This window comes from Homo sapiens, chromosome 2 (assembly GCF_000001405.40).
Source record: "Homo sapiens chromosome 2, GRCh38.p14 Primary Assembly".
In the NCBI taxonomy this organism is placed as follows: domain Eukaryota; kingdom Metazoa; phylum Chordata; class Mammalia; order Primates; family Hominidae; genus Homo; species Homo sapiens.
In genome coordinates, this window is record NC_000002.12 from 102,420,721 (window position 1) to 102,446,401 (window position 25,681).

Below are 25,681 nucleotides of genomic sequence, written 5' to 3' on the forward strand. Positions count from 1 at the left end.
AATTCTGATTCCCTCATTCTAAGGTGGAGGAACTACTGATACAGTCCAGACATTTTATTTTGCAGGTAAGAAAGCTGAGGTCCAAAAAGAGCCTAAGTGACTTAATTGGAGCCACACAGTATGTGAATCACCATAATAGATTGCTATGTGTTTGTTCTGATGGCTCTGGAAGTGTTTATCATTTTTTCAGAACACAGAATTTATTACTAATTGTTCATTTGGCACTCTCCTAGGATCAGGATATATGATTTCTGAAATGGGATATCTGCTCTTCAGGAGCTCCCAATCTAGTGGGAGGACAAGGTGTAAGGAACAACTGATCTACTGCAGCATGGTTAAATCCTGAACAAGTCATTACTGAGCTCCTGTTATCAGCTAGGCACTATTCCTGCAGAGAGGCTGCAGGACTCAGAAAGACAAACTCAGTTCCTGCTGGGATGGAACTTATATTCTAGTTGGGGAGAAGTTTTAGGAGTAAGATATTTTCAGACAATAATATGTGCTAAGACAAAAGTCATTTAAAATGAGTAGCAAGAGAGATGGTTGATGGCAAGAAGGGAGAGGGCGCTTCTTTATCCAGGTGGTCAGGGAACGACTCTCTGAGGAAGAAATCAGGGAAGACATGAGAGAGCCAAACGCTACAGCATTTTGTCCATGGTGCTCTGGAATCTGTGCTTCATCACATGGGTGGTGGGAGCCGGTGACGTTTTGGGCATGGAAATGAAATGCCCAGGCTTGCTGCTTAGGAAGATGTGTCTGGTGGTGGAGTTGGAGGACTGTTCTTTCGGAGACTTTGTGGACAAGGGAAAGGCAAGTGGGGAGACCACATCTTTAAAGGCCATTGCTGATCCTGCCTTGTTCCTTGGTTGCAGTCCTTGTAAGAAGAGCTGTCAGTTGTCAGCAATGGGGATAATGCAGTGACCTTAACACCTATCCGTGGCATTCTGCAAGGCGCATTGCACAGAACCCCCTTTCTTTCTTCCATGAACACGCCTTGCTCTCAGCAGACAGCCAGGTCAGCATCAGCAGCCAGGTGGTAGCATCCTGTACTTTCCTGTACTTTCTGGCTCCACCTGGACAAAGTGGTCTGGGCAGACTTTCCTTTTCACCTGCATGGTTCTACCTGCCTCTTGTCCAAGATTAATCTCCCCATGGTATCAGGGACCCCACTTCTTCTGGCTTCCTGGGAGAAAGCAGTCCATGCACCCTCTCCTCACTCTCACTTGTATTTGTCCTCACTGACCTGCTGACGCATTCCCCTCGCAGTGGAATCCTACCCAAGGCCCTCTCATCTCCAGAAATGAGCAAACACTTCCTCCTGTCTTCCTGCATCATGCAGACTCTAGCAGGCGTGGTTCTTCCCCGCTTCCCACATTCCCTCTACTCCTCTCTCTCCACCCTGAAGCTCTCCGTTATCTCACCCCAGCTGCACATGCTGAGCTTTTGGTGGCCAAACCAAGACTCTTTGGTGGACACTTTTCAGTCCTTCTCATGCCCAACTCCTCTGCAGCTTCTGAAACTGATGTCTAGTCTCTCCTCCAAGCTTTCTCTGTCTGGATTGCCAAGGTGGTCTCTCTGCTCTGCTCCTTGCATTCCTTTTAGGTTTGTCATTCTTTATTTTCCATTAGCCCTGGCCTACTTTTAAAGGTTGAGGTTCCTCAGGGAAGTTCATCTGCCCTCCCTTATGGGGCAACAGAAACAATCCAGGCTTGTTACAGATGCCCCAGGCTCCCTCCAGCTGCTGAAACTGAGACCCTGCTCTGAGCCATATGCCTCCCCACCCCTCTGCCCTGGGAATGCTCCAGCTGGATCCCCAAGATATTTCAAGTAAGTGGTTTGAAAGGTCCCATGACTGCCTTATCAAGAGAGGGGACTCAAGTCCTTTGGACACAGCCCAGATCTGATTCTCTGGAGGGGACCTGCTCCCCCTTTCATATTTGAGAGTTGATAGTGGTGCCATCCAGTGACAATTTTCCCTCTTGCATGTGGGGCAGGGAGAGGTAGGTGGCCTCTATTCTCTAATAGAATAGACTAGTATATGCAAACATTCTCAAATTTTATAAATAGGAGCTATATCTCTAGCTTTCCTAACCGTGAAAAATCTGACAGTTTTATTCAACTTGGGTCATTTTTTCAGGAAAAGTTAAACATAACTCTTTTCAAATTACTCATGGAAATACACATGCTAGGTGAGCACATCAAAGAAAAAAGATTAATGAGGGGAAAAATGGCATTAAAAGAACACACTGCATAGAGCCTAGGGATATTGGGAGCTTGAGATGATTTGTAAGAAATGACACAAGTGAAAAGGTTGCTACACACCATTGGAAATACTCACGTAAGTTATAGGCAAGTGAAGGCCGGTTTGGGTAGGACCTGCCCTTTCAAAGCTTCCTGTGTGAGATGCACTTTGTTCACTGGTTCTGACTTCTTCATTTCCCATTTCTTGATTTACAGAAATGAAGGGGATACTCAGGGCAGAGTTCTGAATCTCAAAACACTCTACTCTGGCAAAGGAATGAAGTTATTGGAGTGATGACAGGAACACGGGAGAACAATGCTCTGTTTGGGCTGGATATTTCTTTGGCTTGTTGCAGGAGAGCGAATTAAAGGATTTAATATTTCAGGTAGGGGTTTTCACTTTTCATGTTAGCACTGTGAGTCTGTGGTCAAGTGTAAAGTGATGGATAACCTGATATATCAGCAGTGTGATATATTAATACAAACCTTTCCATCCTACTATTAAAAGGGGACTGAGAGGAGAATTATTAGGGTGAACAGCTTTCAGCTGATACCAAGCATTGTCGAGGTACCCTGTTACTGTAGTTGAGTGTTCAGTGAGATCAGCTGACGAGGGATGAGCCAGAGTTCTACCATCTTTTCCAGGAAACCAGGGCTGCTGCTGGTATGCTGGAGTCCACTGGGAGGGAATTAGAACAGGCACTTCCTTTCCCCTACAAAATAGACAGTGAAGAAGAAAGACACACAAGGAAGCTAGATCTCTTGTTAAATCAAGTACTAGATGTAAATATAAGCTAGAATTCCATTTTCTAATGTGTTTCCATGTGCTTTGTTTATTATGATTTTCAGGTTGTTCCACAAAAAAACTCCTTTGGACATATTCTACAAGGAGTGAAGAGGAATTTGTCTTATTTTGTGATTTACCAGAGCCACAGAAATCACATTTCTGCCACAGAAATCGACTCTCACCAAAACAAGTCCCTGAGCACCTGCCCTTCATGGGTAGTAACGACCTATCTGATGTCCAATGGTACCAACAACCTTCGAATGGAGATCCATTAGAGGACATTAGGAAAAGCTATCCTCACATCATTCAGGACAAATGTACCCTTCACTTTTTGACCCCAGGGGTGAATAATTCTGGGTCATATATTTGTAGACCCAAGATGATTAAGTATGATCCAAATACATTTCTATCTGAAAACATTTCCAAATCCTCTATTATCTAGACAAAATATCTATGTTCACAGGATCTTGTTAATTTCCTAGGAGCCCCTATGATGTAGCCTGTTGTGTCAAGATGATTTTAGAAGTTAAGCCCCAGACAAATGCATCCTGTGAGTATTCCGCATCACATAAGCAAGACCTACTTCTTGGGAGCACTGGCTCTATTTCTTGCCCCAGTCTCAGCTGCCAAAGTGATGCACAAAGTCCAGCGGTAACCTGGTACAAGGTAAGAGTGAATTCTCTAAAATTAATATAAGAGCATTGTTTTTATGGTATCTTCTTCATGGGCTTTTCATGGAAAAGCGTGTTTGAGAATCTGAGGTATACAGCTTCTCAAAAACTGGCCCTGTGCCTCTGCAGGAGATCTGACTTTCTAAAATAATCATGTTCCCTGGGAAGCCACAGAGCTTGATATTCTAATTATTAGAGGCATCCTTTTGATCAACACCAGAGAAACTTCTAAAATTCAAGTATATTACACATGAGGTTAGACATAAACCTACTAACATCTGCTAATGTAGGAAGATAGGTTCACTCATTTTCACTGTCTTAGGAAAGCAACAGGCATTGCAAAGGGGAAGGGAGGACTCAACACATAAGTCTTGAAGGGTTTGTGAAAGTTACAGGAGCCTGAAATACATTCCCAAAAGACAGCTCTTGGAGGACAGTTAGGACGAATCCAAGGTGGGCCTGAGTGACAGATGTCTTGCACAGGTGAGATGGTGGAAAGGAGTACAGTGCAAATAGAAAAAGGGAACAAGAGCAAGTTTCACAATGACTTTTAGCTATGAACCACATGTACGTGAACTCCCATAACAAAAGCACTTCATGTTTCCATCGTGTTTGATAGTGTTTCCAAGTGCTAGCAGATGATGAAATGCTGCCTAACCATCTCCTCCAAAAGAGCCCCCTGTCAGTTGATTCTTGGGTGGTGGAATCCAGGAATAGAATCTAAATCACTTCCTACAATTGCAATAACTATTTGAAGTTCAATACTTTGTCTTCAAAGTTATGCAGAATTTTGTATTCAACCTCATAATATATGTGTTTGTTAATATAAAAATATCATTCTAAATTGCTACTGATTAAAATCAGAAAGATGAGTTATCTAATGGTTTAATGCACCCCAAATTTTAAGAATGAGAGTCTCCTGGGGATACAGTTACCATGGTAAGAGGAAACATTTCCCTACTTGATTCCTGAGACTCCAGGCTAATAGGAAGACAGATGTTATCACATCCTTTACAGAAATAAATATACAGGGTGGACGAACGGCATGGGGTATGGTCTCAAATTTGTGTTTTTATATGACACTGAAAGAATGCTGGTCTCAATAAAACCCTAATTTCAGAAACATTCATTTCATAACCTTTAAAATGAGGTTAGTAAGAAGAGCCAATAGTTTTGTTCATTATTTTCAGTTCTCTCTCAAGAACAAAACTTCCTTTGGTTCAAAGTATCCGTCATCCAGGATGGCAGCTGTCTTGTTGTCTTGGTGGGCTGTTCTCAGGCCTGTAAAGCAGTCTTGTCCCCGTTATTTCAGATGAAAATGTGTTTGGCTTTTCAATGATCATACACCTGAAGTGAAAGCTATGAATTTTTACTTTTCAGGTGAGCACAAGTTGCATAATAGTAGCCAGCTTTCTGCAAATATTGCTTTTATAAACTAAACCCTAAAACTGTATGACATTCACAAAAGGAAGCTTTGTTTCACTTCCCTGGGGCTTTGACTGCAAACGTCAACATGTGTTTAATGGTGAACAGGCAGCCACCTTAAGAATAGGTGAACAATGGCTGTTATGAAAATTGTACCTCTGATACAGATTTGGACAGGTCCTGGTTTTGTGAATTACACATATGTGTGTGTGCACTCACACATACACATGCATATAAAGGCACATAGTAACCTGGAAATCACAGACCTTATGGCAGTAGTACATCACTAAAAGTGATGGCATTAGGCAGGAAAAAACACCTAATGCCTTTTTCCTTCATGCTAACCCCCAGGTTCTCAGGTGGTGGGTAAGTCATACCTACGACCCATCTCTGAATAGGTGAAGCTGGCACTGGCTGAGAGAATGAAAACATGGCTTTACTGAATTCAAATAAAACTGCTGACCAGGGATACACCCACCAGATATACAGAGTATACAACTGAAATAAATCCCTGGGCTTGGAGTCTCTGGAGCATTCCACAATATTTTTAATTGGCGAATTAAGAACAGGCTTGCAGATTGTTTAAATTTTTTTCAACTTCTTTATTTTAAAATTATTTTTAATTAACAAATCATAATTGTATACATTTACAATAGATTAAATATATACAATACATTTAATGGTCAATAGATTTTAAAAAAAGATGCCAAGAACTCACAATGGGGAAAGGATTACCTCTCCAATAAGTGGTGTTAGGAAAACTGGTTATCTACAGGGAGAAGAATGAAATTGTATCTCATACCACATGCAAAAAAAAGTATTGATGTGATGTTTTGATATATGTATACAATGTGGAGTGATTAACTCAAGCTAATTAACACATCCATCACCTTGCTTACTTTTTTTGTGGACAGACATTTGAAACTTACTCTCTTAGTTATTTTGAAATGTGCAATACAATATTATTGGCTATAGTTATCTTGCTGTGAAATATGCCTGAAAACTTAACTCCTCCCATCTATCTGAAACTTTGTACTCTTTGACCAGTATCTCCCCATTCACCCTCTTCTCCCCACCAATCAAGCCTCCATAATCATCATTCTATTCTCTACTTCTATGAGTTCAACTTTTTAAGGTTCTATATATGAGTGAGCTCTTGCAGCATTTGTCTTTCTGTGCCCGGCTTATTTCACTTAGCATAGCTTCCAAGTTTATTCGTGTTCTCCCACATGATTGAATTTCCTTTTGTAAAGGCTGAATAGTATTTCGTTGCATACATGTACCACATTTTCTTTGTCCATTCCTCTGTTGATGGACACTAAGGTTGATTCCATATCTTGGCTATTGTGAATAGTGCTGCAGTAAGCATAGGAGCGTAGTTAACCCTTTGCCATACTGATTTCAATCTCTTTGGATATGTACCCAAAAGTGGGATTGCTGAATCATATGGTAGCTCTATTTTTAGTTTTTCTGATGAGACTTCATAGAGTTTCTCTTAATGGCTGTACTAATTTACATTTCTACCAACAATGTACAACAGATTAATTTTTTTGATAAAAGCCGCTCTAACAAGTGTGAGGTGATATGTCATTGTGGTTTCAATTTGTATTTCTATGATGATTAGTGATACTCAGCATTTTTTCATATAGTTGTTGGCCATTTGCATCCTTTCTTTTGAGAAATATCTTTTCAGGTCTCTTGCCTATTTTTAAAATGGGCTATTTGTTTTCTTGCTAATGCAGTGTTTGAGTTCCTTATATATTCTTCACATTAACTCCTTATCAGATATATAGCTTGTAAATATTTTCCCCATTTGGTGGGTTGTTTCCTTTGCTACACAGAAGCTTTTTAGTTTTATGCTATATCATTTTTCTATTTTTGTTTTTGTTGCCTGTGCTTTCAGGGTCATATTCAAAAGAATATTTGCCCATAACAGTGCTGTAGAGCTTTCCCTCTATGTTTTCTTTTAGAAGTTTTACAACTTTAGGTCTTCTATTTCATTCTTTAACCCATTTTGAATTGATGGGTTGTATGTGCTATGAGATACAATTTCATTCTTCTCCCTGTAGATAGCCGGTTTTCCTAACACCATTTATTGGAGAGATAATCCTTTCCCCATTGTGTGTTCTTGGCATCTTTTTTTTTTTTTTTAATTTATTGACCATAAATGTGTGGGTTTCTTTCTGGGCTTTCTGTCATATTCCATTTGTTCATGTGTCTGTTTTTATGCCAGTACCATGCTGTTTTGATTTAAATGGCTTAACAATATATTTTGAAATCACGGAGTATGAACCATCTAGCTTTGTTCTTTTTGCTCAAGATTGTTTTGGTTATTTGGGGTCTTTTGTGGTTCCATATGAATTTAAGGGTAGTTTTTTGTATTTCTGTAAAAAACAACGACATTTTGATAGGGTTTGCATTGAATGTGTAGATCACTTTGAGTAGTAAGGACATTTTCTCAATATTAATTCTTCCAATCCATGGACACAGAATACTTTCATATTTATTTGTGTTTTCTTCCATTCCTTTTGTTAGTTTTTTTTTTTTTATAATTTTCAGTATATAGGTCCTTTACCTTCTTGGTTAAATTTATACCCAACTATTTTACTATGTTAGTTCCTATGGTAAGTGGGCTTGTTTACTTAATTTCCTTTTCTGCAGACAGTTCATTTTCAGTACAGGGAAACACTGCTAATTTTTATACGTTGATTTTACATCCTGCAATTTTACTGAATTCATTTATCACTTCTAACAGTTTTTTAGTGGAGTCTTTAGAGTTTTCTATAAATGAGATCATGTCACCAACAAATAAAGGCAATTTTACTTGTTTTTCTACTAAAATGCTTTTTATTTGTTTCTCTTGCCTAATTGCTCTGGCTAGGACTTCCAGTGCTATGATGAAACGAGGTAGTAAGAGTGCACATTCTTGTTTTGTTAATCTGTTCTTAGAGGAAAAGATTTCAACTTTTCACAGTTGAGTATAGCTATGGGTTTGTCATATATGGCCTTTATTGTATTGAGGTACAGTCCCTCTATACTTAATTGGTTGAGGGTTTTTATCATGAAGGGTGTTAGATTTTGTCAAATGATATTTCTGCATCGATTGAGATCATCATACAGTTTTTATCTTTCATTTTATTAATGTAGTCTATCATATTTATTGATTCATGTATATTGAAACATCCTTGCATCCCAGGGATAAATCCCACTTGACCATGGTGAATGATTCTTTTAATGTATGGTTGAATTTGGTTTGCTAATATTTTGTTGTGGATTTTTGCATCTGTATTTTTCAGATACTGGCCTACAATTTTCTTGTACTGGCCTTTTCTGGCTTTGGTATCAGAGTGATGCTTGATTCATAAAATTAGCTTGGAAGTTTTATTACTGATTCAGTCTCCTTATTCATTATTGGTCTGTTTAGATTTTCTGTTTCTTTATGATCCAATCTTGGTAGGTTGTATGTGTCTAGGAATATATCTGTTTCTTTTAGGTTATTCATTTTATTGGCATATAATTGTTCGTAGTAGTTTCTTATAATCCTTTGTATTTTTGTGGTATTGGTTGTAATGTCTACTCTTTCATTTCTGATTTTATCTATTTGAGTGTTCTCTTTTTTCTTAGTCTAGCTAAGAGTTTGTTAATTTTGTTTTTAGTTTTTTCAGTAAACCAACTCTTAGTTTTATTCATTTTTTCCTATTGTTTTTCTAATCTCTGTTTCATTTATTTCTGCTTTTATCTTTGTTACTTCCTTTCTTCTGCAAACTTTGGGCTTCATTTATTACCCTTTTTCTAACATCTTTCTGTGTATCATTAGATTGCTTATTTGAAATCTTTCCTGTGTTTCAATGCAGACATTCATTGCTATAAATTTCCCTCAGGACTGCTTTCGCTGCATCCCACATGTTTTAGTACACTGTGTTTTAACTTGTTTGTCTCAATTTATTTTTTAACTTCCTTTTTATTTCTTCTTTATCCCATTGGTTGTTTAGGAGCACTTTGTTTCATTTCTGCATATGTGCATATTTTCCAAGATATTTTCTGTTTTTAGATTTCTACCTTTATGCCTTTGTAGCCCAAAATACACTTGATATGATTTCAATTTTCTTAAAGTTGTTAAGACTTATCTTGTAGCTGAACGTATCCTTCCTGGAAAATGTTCTATGTGTACTTGAGAAGGATGTGTATTCTGCTGCTGTTGGATAGAATGTTCTGTATATGTCTGTTAGGTCCATTTGGTCAAAAGCGTAATTCAAGGCCAATTTTTGAAGTTTATTTTCTGTTTAAATGAGCTGTCCATAGTTGAAATTAAGGTATTGAGTTTCTTACTATTATTGTATTGCAGTCTATCTCTTTCTTCATTTAATAAATGCGTTATATATTTAAGCGCTCTAATGTTGGGTGCCTATGTATCTACAATTGTTATATCCTCTTAGTGAATGGACTCTTTATCATTATACAATGATCTTTCTTGTTTCTTTTTATAGTTTTTTTACTGAAAGTCTATTTTGTCTGATATAAGTAGAGCTATCCCTGCTCTCTCTTGGTTTTGGTTTGTATGGAATATCTTTGTCCGTTTTTTCCCTTCTAGTCTATATGTGTCCTTATTAGTAAATCTCTTGAAGGCAGCATATAGCTGAATTTTTAAATGTCTTTTGATTGGAGACATATTGTAAATGGTTTGATTAATCCATTTACATTCAAGGTGATTATTGGTAGATAAGCACAGGCTGTTGCCATTTTGTAACTTATTTTCTGTGTGTTTTGTAGGTTTTTTGTTACTTATTTCTCTGTTAGTATCTTCCTTTGTGTCTTGATGGCTTTCTTTGGTGCTATGCTTTGAATCTTTTATATTCATATTTTGTGCCACTACTACACGTTTTTGTTTTGTGGTTACTATGAGGCTTCCATAAAACACTTCATAACAGGCTAGTTAAGCTAATAACAACTTAACTTTATATACAACAAGTACACTTTCATTTCCTCCCCGCTACCTTTTATGGGTTTGATGTCAAATTTTACATTTGTTGTAGTTTCTGTTTCTTAATGATTAATTACAGCTAGGATTGTTTTTATTAGTTTTGTCTATTAACCTTCATAGTAATGATAAATTGCTTTATATACCACCCTTACATTATTAATGAATTATGAATATGACTATGTATTAACTATTACCATTGAATTTTTTACTTTCATATTTTTTGTTATTAATTAGCAGGCATTCATTTCAGTTTAAATAATTCCTTTTAGCAATTCTTAAAAGTAGACCAAGTGGTGATGAACTCCCTTAGCTTTTGTTTGTCTGGGAAAGTTTAATTTCCCTCTCATTTCTGAAGGACAGCTTTGCTTGGTTGGCAGTTTGTTTGGGTTTTTTTCCTTCAACACTGAATATATCATCCCACTCTCTCCTGGCCTATATCGTTTCTGCTGAGAAATCCACTGATAGCAATATTGGGACTTTCTTGAACATGATATGTTTCTCATCTCTTGCTACTTTCAATATTCTTTCTTTGTCTTTGAATTTTTGACAATTTGATTATGATGTATCTTGGTAAACCCCTTTTGGGTTGAATTTGATTGGCAACTTCTGAGTTTCCTATGCATGAATGTCATCTTTCCCTAGATTTAGGAAATATTCAGCTGATATTCCCTTAAATATGCTTTCTGACTTCTTTTTTCTTCCATCTTCCAAAATTCCTAATATGTGAATCTTGAAGGTGTCCCATAATTTCCATAAGCCTTTTCATTCTTTTTTCTTTTTGCTCCTCTGACTAGATAATTTCAAATGTCATCTCTGACATCACGGATGCTTTCTTCTGCTTAATCAAATCTGCTGTTGATATTATAGTTCAGGTATTATATTCTTTATCTGTAGGATTTCTTTATTTTTCAAATACCCACACTTCAGGGAGAAGGATTTCTATTTAAAACTTTTTTTTCTATTTCTCTATTATTAAACTTTTCATTTTGTTTTGAAAATTGTTTTTAAAATTTATTTTATTTTTATACATATTTTCTTGTAGTTTCCTAAACTACTTTAAGAGGATTATTCTGAAGTTTTGTCAGTTATTTCTTAGATCTTTACTTCTTCCTATTTCATTATGATAGCTTTCTTAGTTTCTTTTGATGGTGACATATTTCCTTGATTTTTCATAATCATTGTTCCTTGCATTGGTGCCTATGCAGTTGAGGAAACAGCCACCTCTTTTGGTCTTTGTAGGTGATCTTTGGTGGTAGCAGACCTTCACTATGTAGTCTAGCCTGGGATTCCAGGTGGGCTAGTTGGTAGCAATCCCAGATAAGCAGACTTTGGTGTTGAGTTCTCTAGGTGGGCTTGGCTGTTTTCTGTGCACTGAGGTCAAGTGGAATTGCTTGCTGTGCTTTGCGTTCCAGTGAGACCACTTTCTGAACTCTATGGTCAGGTTGAGTCGCTGGCTGAGCTCTGTGATTGCCTCTGATCAGGCAAAATTGCAGACTGTCTTCCCAAATAGCCTGCAACTTTGCCTGATCAGAGGCAGTCACAGAGCAATACCCTTGTGTCTTCCATTCACCCACAACATGAAGGAATTGCTTAATTAACTAAAAGGGCACCCAAATGCCCTACATCTGGCCGAGAAATACTGTTGTTAGAATGTGTAGTTGGGCAGGACAACAGGCTAGGCCCTGAGGCAAAGTTAGTTATCTGGGATTGCTGCTCAGCAATTTGGGATGGGCAGGGGGAGAAACTAGGCTACAAAGATGTGTGTGGGCTTGATCTTACCCCTGGGCCAGGGATAGCCTTAGGCAGGGCATTGAGGCTTGATTGGGTTGCCACGCACCTTCTGGACCTGGGTGGGGCCAGCTGCTCCTTCTGCAGATAACTGCTGACCTGCCTTTGCCTCCTGGCCTGGGGAAGGCTGCAGGAAGGTGCTGGAGCCTGGCTGGGTCACCATGCTTGGAGATTATTAATTAAAATATTTAATGACTGAAAAAGTCAGAATTAAAGTGAGTTATTTATTATTTATGCTACTAACTTTTTCTATATATTTTTCTAATTTCTAAAAATGTAATGAAAAAATAGCCTTGGCATAAACAAACTTCATCTTAAATAAATAATAGTTACATGTAATGTAACGGCATTTTATGATCTTCAGCTAAGCAAATCCTTGACACAAGTCAAAATTATAATCAAGGGTAGTAGGAAAGTCTCTCCTGTACTGGCCTAGGGCACCGAGATATGAGTTTTGACGACATTGCTGTGACCTCCTGTTAGTAGGACTTGCACCTTGAATAACATTTCCATTGGTGGTTTAAGACAATCTCACTCATGCCACATTCTCTTGCCACACTTCTGACATGGCTGCTGGGTTGATTTTAAGCCCTATGTTGCATGGAAGGTTTTTGTTTGTTTGTTTTAGAGATAGGATCTTATTCTGCCACCTAGGTTGGAGTACAGTGGTGTAATCACAGCTCCCTGCAGTCTTGAACTTCTGGGCCCAAGTGATCCTCCAGCCTTAGCATCTCAAGTAGTTGGGACTACAGGCACATACCACTGCACCCAGCTAATTTTAAAAATTTTTTGTAGAGAAGGGGTTTCACTATGTTGCTCAGGCTGGTTTCAAATTCATGGTTTCAACCAATCCTCCTGCCTTGGCCTTCCAAAGTGCTGGGATTACAGGTGTGAGCCATCATGCCAACCACAAAGAAGTTTGTTTGTTTTTTGAGATGGAATCTCTCTCTTTGTCGCCTAGGCTAGAGCGCATCTAGCTCAGTGCACTGAGCTAGAGACTTGGCTCACTGCAACCTCCACCTCCCAGGTTCAAGCTATTCTCATGCCTCAGCCTCCCAAGTAGCTGGGATTACAGGTGTGCGCCACCACACCCAGCTAATTTTTGTATTTTTAGCAGAGATGGGGTTTCACCATGTTGGCCAGGCTGGTCTCCAACTCCTGACCTCAGGTGATCCACCTGCCTCGGCCTCTCAAAGTGCTGGGATTACAGGTGTGAGCCATCATGCCGACCCCAAAGAAGTTTTGTACCTATACCTGATACTTCTCATTTCCTAGTTCTTGTAACTGGCACCTGTTGGCATCCTGTGGGCCTAGTGCTGTGGATAACTGGTAAGCATGGTGAGACTGGCTAGATTCAAAGATTAATGTGTTTCTAAATAGAGAATAAGTTAATTTAATGTGTTTCCAAATAGGAAGAAGATAATTTAGATTATATTTCTCAAAACTGTTTCTAGGGTTGAAACATTGGCCCATTTGATTATTCTCACTATGAACATTTCAGAACTCTGAAGATCTGGACAGCTTTCTAACACCTGTTCAAAACAATCATCTGTATGCTGTCTAACCAGCACTGAAACAGAGGAAGAATTTCCTTACTTGTTCAGAACAGAATATTGCCACAGCCCCACTATTGTTTTAGCTTTGGGACAGCCTCATTATATGGTTGATTTATTCTGAGTTGGCAGGCAAGTCTTTCCACAAAAACTGAAATCAAGCAAGTTCTCTCTATTTTTGTTTGTAGAGTAGAATTTGTAACTTATGTTCATGATTTTATATTTATTTCTGTTAAATAATTTGTTGTTTTTAGTTCATTCTACATGTCAAGAGGTTGGAATTCTGATTTTGAATGCCAACATATTAGCCATCACACGCAGGTTTGTGAGGCATGTAGATGAGATCAACATGGTATGTTCTCCCTCAAGCCCCTGCTAAAACTACGGGCGAGGCTAACACCAGGGACAGAGTGCTCTGCTGTTAACTCCAGTTTGATCCTTCTAGTTACATATGATCCATTCATCCACAACGCAAGGGTGTTGCTTAATTAACTAAAAGGGCACTCGAATGCCCTATATCTGATCATTCAGCTCACAATGTACCTTTGGTTTAACAGAGAGATCATGAGAATATTTTTCAAGTGACTCACAATAGTGAAGATACTCTGTGTCTGCCATACTCCTGTGAACCTCCAGTCTATTCAGTTGTGGGCAACAATGAGATTGCCTTGATATGATTGTTGTTAGCAAATGCAAGCTGGCTGATATTAACCATCACTTCCTTTTCTAAGGGTTCATAAACCATCTGTTAAATAATTAATTCAAGACTTTCACTAGAAATTGACATCTAGCCCATTATCAATAATTTCCATAATATACTCCATTCCCATTAAAAGATAAATATTAGTAAAAAAAAAATCTATCAATAGAATGTTGTTAGTTGATAACTGGGGCAAGAGACTGCAACTACACTTAACGGGAAAGAGCAACATAGACAACAGAAACAGAAAAGCAAAGGGTATGTTCAGTGTATGGTCACACTGAGTGGCTCACTGTGGTGGGAGCTGAGAGTTCTTAAGTGGTTTAATTAGGACTAGAATGGAAATAAAGGTTGTGTGGTTCTCATGATGGTTATGGGGACCTTGCTGATGTGTTTGAACTTTATGAGTGTGAGTCCTGATCCAGGACAGGACAGAAAGAAGTGGAAACAGAAAGAAGGTGGCAGATGCTAGTGATATTTTCATGTAATAAAATGAAAGATTAAAAGCTTTGACTGGGAGTGTGTGTAAAATAGATGAGTAGCATATTTGGTGTTTTTCTGGCTCAACATATATGAGATAGTAGTAGTAAATTCAATTAGGAGCAGGAAAGCTGTGATGAATACAGACCTGGACACAATGAGTCTATGATAAGGAACATTAAAATGGATATGAAAACCTGAAATGCACCAGGGAGAATAGGCCAGGGAGGAGAGTGAAAGAAATGCAGGTCTTTGGAGTCCTCCCAGACTGGGTAGTGGAAGTCCAGCTAGGAGCTCCAGTGTGTTGTCCAAATCCAGGAAGTACCATTCCCATAGAATAACACAGTGTGCGTGATGCTCAGTAGCTGTACTGACTGGTAGTATAAGAAATCGATAATACTGCAGTATAATATTATAATACCTGCCCCTAGTAGTAAGAATAACTGTTCTTCTCCCTGCTTCACATATACCTTTAAAAGTCCTTTGCAGTGTCTTCATTTTTTTTTTTTTTTTGCATGCCTCCACTCTTTTGAAGACTTACGGACATTATTCATTCAGATTCACAGTGGCGGATGTTCCTGTTTCCATATTCTGCTCATGACTGCTTCACATATGAGCAAAACCAAGAGTTCCCTGTGCAGCTGCATTAGCCTCTCTTTGTCCTATGAGGATTAACTGTAATTGTATTATTAGAATGGGTTTCCCATCATCCTTGGCATAAATTGCTTCTCCCTAATTTCTTTTCTTTGATATTTCCTCTAAGTTCCATTTCATAAAGTCTTAATGATACATACTAAGCCTCACTTACCTATTTATGGGTAAAAAAGATACATTATTCCCCATCCTCCCCCTTGGCTTAGGTGAGGTCTTAGTTACGGCTCTGTGTCCTCCCACCATTACGTTCTCATGCGATTTATGACACGCCTCTCCCCTGAATTCTGATCTTTATATGTTATCACTGCGTCCTCTGAAGTTTTATCTTTGAATTTCCCCCTATGTTTTAAAACTTCCTTTTGAAAAGTTCCTGATTCTTGAGATCATCTGGTATATATTTAGCCTTGTATACCACTACCTCTTTGCCTTGTTTTGCTTCCTGCCCACAGCTGCACTTCTCTGGCCACTCTGCCCCCACCCTTAGTCTCCTTTCCAGCCTGCTGGAAATTCCTTCTTGGACCACAGGAAACACACGAGGGATGTGGCGTGGGGGAATCCCAGCTTCTACTAGTAGGCAGGCAAAGTGGAAGGGAAATTCCTCAATCAGAAAATAAAACTCAGAACCAGAAAAAAATGAGGTTGATTCTCAGTGCTCTCACTTACCAGCTTTGTCAGAGAGAGAAAAAAAAGCCACTCACGTTCCAGAACCTCTGTTTATATAAGTTTTTATTTATAAGTATGTATCTGTTTATATACGTAAATATATACAATATATGTTATATATATGTGTGTGTATGTATATATATGTGTGTGTGTGTGTATATATATATATGTATGTATACACACACACATTAAAAAATTCATTTCAGTTTCAGCCCTTAGAACACTACAGGTCTTCCAGAATACTCTCAGGGCTCCAAGTCATGCATGCTCTGGGAAGTCCTTTGTTAAATAGCTGTTTAGGGGCTGATCAGGTTTGGAGGTTTGACTCTCTCATCTCTACACATAATGCAATTGTATTGGAAAATGCCTCTTGTTTCAAATCTACAAGTACAGTTTTTGAACACAATGTCTTCATAGCTTGTGAGATACCCTTATCTCAGATTGACCTTCTTCCTCCCTGTTCAAATTTGTAAGATTTTTCTTTAGGTATGTATTTCATAAAGTTTTTCTGTGGCAAATTTATCTGCTTAAAATATCTTTTGGATTAGAATGGAAAACTCCTCTCTGTGGAAAGGAGCAACCGAATCGTAGTGGATGAAGTTTATGACTATCACCAGGGCACATATGTATGTGATTACACTCAGTCGGATACTGTGAGTTCGTGGACAGTCAGAGCTGTTGTTCAAGTGAGAACCATTGGTAAGTGAGATTTTTATCTCAAGATTTGAGATCTGAGCAGCAAATTAAAATTATCTTCTTTTGGCTTAGTAAGTTTTTCCTCTTAGGGAAAGAAAAGGATAGTCATATACTTGTAATCATGTAAAACCTTTCATGTGGGCAAACATCAAAGTTGCCATCCCCCAGGGAAGGCTAAGTTCTGAAACAGTTTCAAATTCTCACAAGTTGGGTTGTCCATGAATATGTCCCTGATTTGCTTTTGTAATAAATTTAAAAAATGTATGAAACATTTCACACACAGAAATATTGTGACATCCAGGTACCTATCACCAGTTTTAACTATGTTACCATTTTCCCACATGCTTCAAATCATAATTTTTTTTCTTTAAAGTAACAAAATATTGCAAAGACAACTTGAGGTCTATGACCCCATTCTCTTCCAGGCCTTTGCTCCCACAGTATAGTAACATCTTGTCATTTATATCATTTCCATTTATGTTTTTATGCTTTTTCTACATATGTATGCATCTATTAACAAAATAGAATATTGTTTTGAGTTATGAAATATGTTTGTGTCATAAACACTTGGTATTTTATTAAATTATTGGTTTGCCAATTTACAGCCCCATTAGCAGTAAATGCCCTTTGTTCCCAAATAATACTTGGTGTTATCAGACTTTATGACTGGTGTTAAGTGGAGCTTTGTTTTTATTTGTTTCTTTTCTGCTCCATAGTATACTTCCCTGACTAATATGAGGTTGAACATTTTGCTATATGTTTTTTGGTTCATTGGCTTTCTTCCGCAACTTGTCTGTTTTTGTCCTAACCTTTCCCTTGGGTCGTTCTTACCAGATCTGCAAGCATCAGCTTGAATCAACTATGTGATAGAATTAATTTAAATGTGGTCTAAGAAGTGAAAACATAAGACAGCCAGTCACTCATGCTTTATATCAAAGAGCAACAGAGTGGTTGACGTAGCTGTTAGTTAAGATATTAATCTTTTCTTATTACAAGATACAAACCACACAGAGCACCCCAAGACCAAGTGAAACTCTCCTGCCCCTTGCACCCTCTAGCACTTCAGAATTATTTTATATTAATTTAGATTACATGTTATATAGATAAGATTTCATTTTATATTATTAGATTGCTTCTTGAAAGAGAAGTTAGAATGTAAATACCCCACTCGCACCACTTTTCCCCTCCAAGTGATGTGTAATTGTTCTTTAACTCAGCCATCACTCAGCCCCTCAAATTCTCAATGGCATAATCTGCTTTTCTGTCACCCAAGGGACACCTTGCAACATCTGTTGCATCTATTTCAGTCAAGCCCTCTCTGTTGTCATCCCTGTCTTCCTCATTTAATCATTCATTCTCATATTTATTCATTTCCACACAAATATTTACTGAACATGTAATATGTGTCAGGCTTGGAGCTAAGGCTACAAGAATGAGTGCCCGGATGCTTTATCTGGCCTCCAAGAACTTTCCATTTTGAGAAGAAGACAAAGGTGAAGCAGGCTGTCATAATACAGTGCAGCAAGAGAAAGGAGCACTATGGGCACATGGAGGCCCACCAGACCCAACCTGGGGAAGCCCGCTCCAAGTGAGAGCTGATGGATGAGGACACACCAGCTCAGTAAGGGTGGGGAGCTTCCATTCCAGACTGAGGAAGCAGCAGAGCTGATGTCCAGGAGATGAAGAAGAGCATCTGGGAGTAGGACTGACATCACACTCTTCTAATACGTGTTAAAATTATCTAATTACCTAATTATCTAATACGTGTTAAAATTTATGAAGGAACAATGGGGAGGCATTGAGGATTTTAAGTGGGAGAATGTCGTGACTGAATTTGTATTCAAGATAGATCACCTTGTTTGCTGGGTCGGAAGTGGGTTTGTAAGAGCAGGAATGGAGGCAGGGAGAAGAGTTAGGAAGTTCTGTGGTCAAGCAGGCAGTTGCTGATAGGGATCTGAACTAGGGAGTGGTAGAGGGAATGGAGAGAAGTGGATGACTTTGGAAATGTTTAAGAGGTACATTTAAAGGATTTGGTGTTCGGGAGCAAGGAAGAGGGAAAGCAGGAGCCATGGATACAAGCCAGCCTTTGAGCTGGTCAAGGAGGGAATGTGCTGACAGAGCACAACAGTACAGAGGATGAGAGCAGGCACAGTCGTGGAGCAGCAAGCTTGACTCATGGTTAAACCATGCCTCTGCTTGTGCTGTAAATAGACCTAGCAGAGGTGATGAGAAGTAGCTGGACTTGTAGGTCAACAGAGCATGATAATGGTTTTTACATAAAAGGTAGGAGAAAGAGAAGAATCAAGGATGTTTTTTGTTTTCTGCCCTGGATAAGTTAGTGAATGGTGGTACCATTTAAGGAGACTGAAAAAGCTGAAGGGAAAGAGCATTTGAAGAGGAGATTAAGTATTAGGCTTAAAAGGACTTTTAGTCATCCAAGTCATGACGACAAGTAGGTATTTGGACAAGCCAGTCTGGAGAAGTTAGGGCTGGAGATGTGAATGTGAAGATGATCGATTTTTACATAATATCTGAAGCCAAAGAGCTGAATGAGATCACCTAGGAAGTGGGCATAGAGACAGAAGGGGCTAGAGCCAAACCCGGAAATGCTTGAAGAGGTGGAGAAGAGGAAGACAATCCTCAAAGAGGATGGGAACATACATCAGCAAGTGAATATCAGTGGAAGGGTGGTGAGAAGAGAAACAAACGAAGTGAAATTGATGATGTAGGAAAGACATAACCTCAGGCACCAAGACCTTTCATAGGGAAGAGGCCTAGAGAGTAAACTTACTACCCAGGGGTATCAGGAGGAGTGAAAGAACACTAGGAGAGGACTAATAGTTAAAAGAGACACAGAGGAAGGGACAGGCACAGAGAAGTGAATATAGCGGTTGAAAGTAAGCAGTAGAGTACGGGAACATGGAACCAAAAGAAGAGAGGGTTTCAAAGAGAGCATGGCCAACAGTGTCCAATGCTGCTAAGAGGTAAAGTAGACGAAAAATGTGATTATGCCCAATGGATTTAGGTGCATAGGTGGCACTGGTGAATTTGGTTAAGCAGTTTTAGTGGACAGATGGCGGCGGAAATCAGGTTCCATAGGAGGTGAAAGGATGGAGGGAATTAGCACATAGAACTGCCTTTCAAGAATTTGGCTGGGAAGGAAGGAGAATAAGTGAGGCTGGGATATAAGGCAGGGTGTGTTTTCTCTTTTTTAGGATGATGAGACTGAGCATGAATAAATGTTGATGAGAAGAAGCCCAGAGAAAGCGAGAGAGAGAGAGGGAGAGAGAGACAAGTTAAAAATACAGGACTGAGATGGTGCAAAGGGGAGAAGGAGGTCTCTGAGAAGTAAAAGTAGGTGATGTCAACAGCAAAGACCCTGGATTTTTCTTTATCCAGAAAAAGACACACCTTCAGGAGGAAGTTTGACAGTGGAGGCATATTTGACAGTGGAGGCATATTTGTGGCAAGAAGTTGATGGATAAAATTGTTAATTAAGGACTGGACTCTTCTTTATTTTGAAATAAACCATGAGTTTAAGGATGGAGGGGTGGACTCGGATATGCTTGACTTGCACAGTTTCTTGGGTGGATTCTCCTTTCAGTTCAATTACTCAGCCAGATGGCACCACAAAGAAATCTTGTGGGAAAAGACAGGGATAGGAGCTCAGGTCTGCAAGGGGCAGGATTAGTGTGAAAGAGAATGCACACAAGCAGATATGGATCAATTAACAACTAATGTTTTACCAGCACCCACAACCTGATGTGGCAGTCATTTTAGGGGGCAAGCTTTTTACATGGAAACCGGAATTCCTAACTTACAGGTAATTAGTAAAATGTGAAGACAGAGCTCCAAGACATTTAGATCAAAGTGTGGCTGTGCACCTAAATCTTCATCAAGCAGGCCTTCAGACTTTCCAATGCAAATAGTAATCTTTGTTTTCATCTTTCAGTGGGAGACACTAAACTCAAACCAGATATTCTGGATCCTGTCGAGGACACACTGGAAGTAGAACTTGGTAAGCTGGGCCTCATCGCCTTTGAATGACATCGTGCTGCTGGGAGCAGGTCTAAGTGTGATAGAAGGAAAACAGCATTGGGATTTCCAGTCAAACAGAATTGGGTGTGAATCTTAACTCAGCCATTGACTAGTTTTGTGACTTTGCACAGTTACTTCATCCTTTAAGCCTCAGTACTTAAATCCGCAAATAGCTATCATAAAACTGACCCTAAAAGATTATATTGCAGGCCGGGCATGGTGGCTTATGCCTGTAATCCCAGCACTTTGGGAGGCTGAGGTGGGTAGATCACTTGAGGTCAGGAGTTTGAGACCAGCCTGGCCAACATGGTGAAACCCCATCTCTACTAAAACTACAAAAATTAGCCGGGCGTGGGTGTGGGTGCCTGTAATCCCAGCTACTCAGGATGACAAGGCAGGAGAATCACCTGAACCTGGGAGGCGGAGGTTACAGTGAGCCGAGATCGAGCCATTGCACTCCATCCTGGGTGGCAGAGCAAGATTCCATCTCAAAGAAAAAAAAAAATTATACTGAGAAATAATGGGACAATGTATGTTAAGTGGCTGGAGCATGAAACCTGATCAATAGATTTTATTCTTCCTTAACTTCCCCAGGAACAGGTGGTTTCGTACATGTTGGTTAGGTCTATCAGTTATGACTACAAATTCGCCAACCTGAGTAACATTAACTCTTATGAATATGACATTTAATCTGGCATTTAAGAGAACTGTAGTAGAATTCTACAACCCCTGCCCAAACAATTTGTATTCCAAAGTAGTGTCTTCTTTGGGGTTGAGGAGAAATTGACTTCCCTGTGGGTCTCCTTTTATTTTGTCAACTTCAATAATATCTATGTCTTTCTACACAGACAAATAAGAATTGCTGTATTAAAAATAAAATGCTGTTTTTCTTTTAATAATATAAATTTTTTTATTATTATTATACTTTCTAAAATGCTACTAAAACATTTATTATTTTAGAAAGAAACATAAAAATACATGTTATGATATAAGATCACTAGATGGCAGGAGTGGTGTGTTCTGACTCTAGAAATAGCACTAACTATGTGCTCAACGTCACAGGAATGGAAGGAAGGAGGAAAGAAGGAGGAAAAAATTAGATTAATTCATATAGTCAAGTTACATATGTATTAGTGAATTATAAGGTATTACCAGTGGAAAAACGTTAAGGTGCAAAGATGAGTATTCAAATGGAGCTCCTAGTCATTTCATGGTTAAATATTAGATTTGAGGCAGAGCATATGTGAATATTCCTCATGGAAAAAAATGGGTAGAAAAAAGTTAGTCTCATAATATGCATGCCCATCCATAGTGAATTGTTCAGAAAAATTGCTTAATATCGAAATAATTTTTTTATTTAAACCACGTGCTACAATAACTTTATGATTTTTACTTAATAAACAAATATTGGATAGTAAAATTTTCTTTATGGACACACCTTGTACTTCAACAGTAGTGCAGAAGACCGGGCTGATCTCAGAAACTCCTCATTTTCTTAGTTTTCTTAGTGTCTCCCTCAATCCACATAAGGACCCTTAGTGATATAATCATGCTCATCTTCATTTTAAGAACATATAGTCATATGGTTGAGATAGAAGGATTGCCCATTAGAAAAAATGTACCTGGTTTTATGCATTTCTGAATGAGAGCTGTGTAGACGTTTCATTATTTCTGGCACACATATTCTACCTGCAAACCTGATTGCATCAGGAGACAGCTTCTGGCGACGTCTTCCTCCCAGATGTAGGACAAAGTATTCTCACCAGCTTCCTTCTTGTTTTCTCTGGCCTCTTCATTTTCAGGAAAGCCTTTAACTATTAGCTGCAAAGCACGATTTGGCTTTGAAAGGGTCTTTAACCCTGTCATAAAATGGTACATCAAAGATTCTGACCTAGAGTGGGAAGTCTCAGTACCTGAGGCGAAAAGGTAAGAAAAAAACTCACGGATTCTGTTCTCTGCAATTCAGAAGAGATACTTCTACCTTTAGAAATGCCTAAAGTATACAGTTGATGGTGTAGCCACCAGCACCGACTAGTGGTGAAAATAAAAGCACAAAAATGCAAAGTGCAAACGGCCGTTGAATGAAATATTTAAGTTGTTTTAAACCTCAATTTGTAGGAACAGTTTGACGTGGCTGCTCTCAAAGTCAAGCTATTGAGCAGACAGTTGTACTGACCCAGACTGCTTGGAGATAAGTAATATGTCCAAGAAATGGGAGGAAATGCTGCTTACCCTCACTCTGCTTTTCACCGGTGCCACCCGTTCAGAGAGTGTGGGGGTACAGGGATCCAGATGTGTGGGGTAATGAACAGTCTAGAAAACCTCCAGGGGAAATGGCATCATAATAATAAGTCTGACAAAAAATATGTGAAGTGAGGAATACCTGAAGCAACTTAACCCCGAAAAAGAGGCTCAGAGGAGGGCTCTCTGTCTTGAAATCCTTGGGAGCTATTACATTGTTTGAGAAATTTGACTTGGTTTGTTGCTCTCTGGAGCACAGAACCCGGATCAGTGGTTTGAATTTACTGGTGAGATATTTTGGCCAGTAGAAAACCCTAGATATTTGGAGCTATCCAATCACAAAAAAAGTTGATCTCCAGTCCCCAGAAGGATCAAAGGGCCTGGATCCAGTGATGTCCAATCAGATGTGTCTCCAAAGGATGCATTCCCTGATTTTTCGAAGATGTGACCCAGAGTAAGAGTCTATGCATTAAGTACCTTCTTCTGATACTTAACAGATATCAATAAGAAAATGCAATATCATTTTGAAAAGTATACATCATTACAAAAAAGTACAGAACAGATTTTGGTCACAACAATAAAATTTAGCAAGAATTTCTAAGATCAGGAAGGTCATTGGGGCCCATCTTAAGCTGATATTGCATTAGAGTTCACAGTAGGAGAGTGTAGTCAAGAGGGTATGTTTTGACATCACCCACCCTTGGGTTTAAACCCATTTTCTATCTGATGTCAACATGACCCTTAGCCCCGGTGAGCCTCCATCACCCATTGATAATCTATGGATAATAGCCTGCACTTTGCAAGCTCACTGGGAGGCGTGGTTACAGCAGAGGTGTTATGCCTATCACAATGTGTGACAGGTAGGAAGCACTCAGTGAATAGGAGCTGGCATCGTGGTCTCAGAGCAACACAGCCTAAAACATCATTCACATACACAAGATTTCTTAACACAAAGATGGATTGTAGATTGGTAACTTCAGAGAACTCAAATTGTGAATAAATGCCAAGACTCCCAACTTCCTGGGTGGAGCAGCGTGGCACAAGCCCAGGAATCAAGCTGCCCATTCCCTGCAGTGTGGTCTGGGGCTACTCACCCACCTTCTTTGCCTTGTCCTTGTCACTGGCCAAGGCCATTATGATCCTATTATACTCTAGGGTTCCTGGGAGGTGAGGAATGGAGGACATTAGAGTCCATATTTTGTGCACAGAAGAGGGACTGATACATAGTAAACCTTCAGTAGGAGTTGGTCATTTTAAATATTTTTCTTAAGGTATTGTTATTATCTATTCTCAAGGGGAATTCTTAAGAGTAAGGAAGGTCAGATGAGTCTCACAAATAAATAATGTCTTAGCGTGAATGCTTAGAAGAGTCAATAATTGAATCAAGAATGAGCCCTTTTTGACCATCTTACATTCTCGTGGTATCTTATACTATTGATCTCACAGTTCTCTAAAAGCCAAACTGTTGGCTGCTTATACGTGTTCCAAATGCTGCAAATGGGTGTCAATGTATGTTACTGAATGGAGTGGTATTTTTTCTCCTTTCTCAGTATTAAATCCACTTTAAAGGATGAAATCATTGAGCGTAATATCATCTTGGAAAAAGTCACTCAGCGTGATCTTCGCAGGAAGTTTGTTTGCTTTGTCCAGAACTCCATTGGAAACACAACCCAGTCCGTCCAACTGAAAGAAAAGAGAGGAGGTAAGCCCAGAAGGTTGCCCAGGAGGCATGAAACTGCTTTCACTTGAGAGGGGAGGAGTTTTCCTAAAGAATAGTAATAATGATGACAGCGATTACATTTTCTAGGTGACAGACATTGTTTTAAGCACTTTCCTGGTGTCAACCCATTTAATACCTTGACCAAAGCCACACAACTAGTAAACTGCATATTACTGGTTTAGAGCTAGTTCTCTTAAGTAATAGTCTGCGTTTGGGAGGCCATGTTGGAAAAGCAACTCATTCATGCACTCATTCATTCACGCATTCATTCTACAATAGCTATGGGGTATGCCCAGAATGGCAGGCATTGTGCTAAGACCTAGCCTCCTTTCCAATTTTTCTTTCCTGGCTTTCAAATCCAAAGGACATGATGGATTCATGTTCTGATGAGTGGAGAATGGAAGAGAGAAGGAGTAATCTTGTTCATTGTTCAAAATGGTGTGTGTATATCACGGATATATTAAAAAAAAAAAAGCTGGAGTAGAAATTCTAGGTAAGGAAAAGCGTTTAAATTTCTTTGAAAAGATGCCCAGAGATGAAATTGATATCATTCATTCCTTTAATTAATAGATAACTATAGTTATAAGCAGGTTTGAATGTTTCTGAGGCTTCAACAAGACAAAGTGTGTTCTGGCCTGTAGTAAACGCTCTGTGAAGGGGGTTTTCCCCCATGGGAGTATGCAGGAGATCCCTCGTGTCAGGTAAGCCAGATGGGACTCCTGGTCTCAGGAAATTTAGGCTGCAGTAGGAATGATAATACAGGAAAATAATTTACAATATGCAATGAGAGAGATGTAAATGGATTGTGTGGACGTTTACGAGGGGAAAAAATAAAAGGAATATGATAAGTTTCCCAGGCCACCCTGATCAGGAACTGCCCATTCCCCTGGGGTCTCTAGTGTTTATTGTAAGACAGGTCTCAAAATGTGATTTTTTAAAATTTTATTTTAATAGGTTTTGGGGGTACAGGTGGTTTTTGGTTACATGGATAAGTTCTTCAATCTGAAAATCTTTAGATTTTTGAGATTTTGGCATACCCGTCA

The 25,681-nt window shown here is 39.0% G+C and overlaps 1 protein-coding gene and 1 non-coding gene across 14 annotated transcripts in view; both read left to right on the plus strand.

Annotated features, from left to right (window-relative positions):
* The window catches only part of IL18RAP (interleukin 18 receptor accessory protein), a 33,945-nt gene that overhangs the window by 2,100 nt on the left and 6,164 nt on the right, over positions 1-25,681 (plus strand). For 3 of the 13 annotated variants that reach the window (NM_001393486.1, XM_024453201.2, NM_003853.4), the window contains 7 exons: positions 2,458-2,627; positions 3,091-3,415; positions 3,511-3,694; positions 16,492-16,642; positions 20,592-20,657; positions 22,480-22,603; positions 24,469-24,620. In NM_001393486.1, the coding sequence (NP_001380415.1) occupies positions 2,558-2,627; positions 3,091-3,415; positions 3,511-3,694; positions 16,492-16,642; positions 20,592-20,657; positions 22,480-22,603; positions 24,469-24,620 (1,072 nt within the window). In that variant the 5' untranslated portion in view covers positions 2,458-2,557. Of the gene's footprint in view, positions 1-872; positions 1,828-2,439; positions 2,628-3,090; positions 3,695-16,491; positions 16,643-20,591; positions 20,658-22,479; positions 22,604-22,795; positions 23,373-24,468; positions 24,621-25,681 lie in introns of those variants that run through there. The other 10 variants (XR_007083519.1, XM_024453199.2, XM_024453197.2 and 7 more) reach the window with 10 other exon arrangements.
* On the plus strand, positions 11,569-11,646 carry MIR4772 (microRNA 4772). The gene has a single exon (NR_039930.1). It is a non-coding gene; the product is annotated as a microRNA 4772 (primary transcript).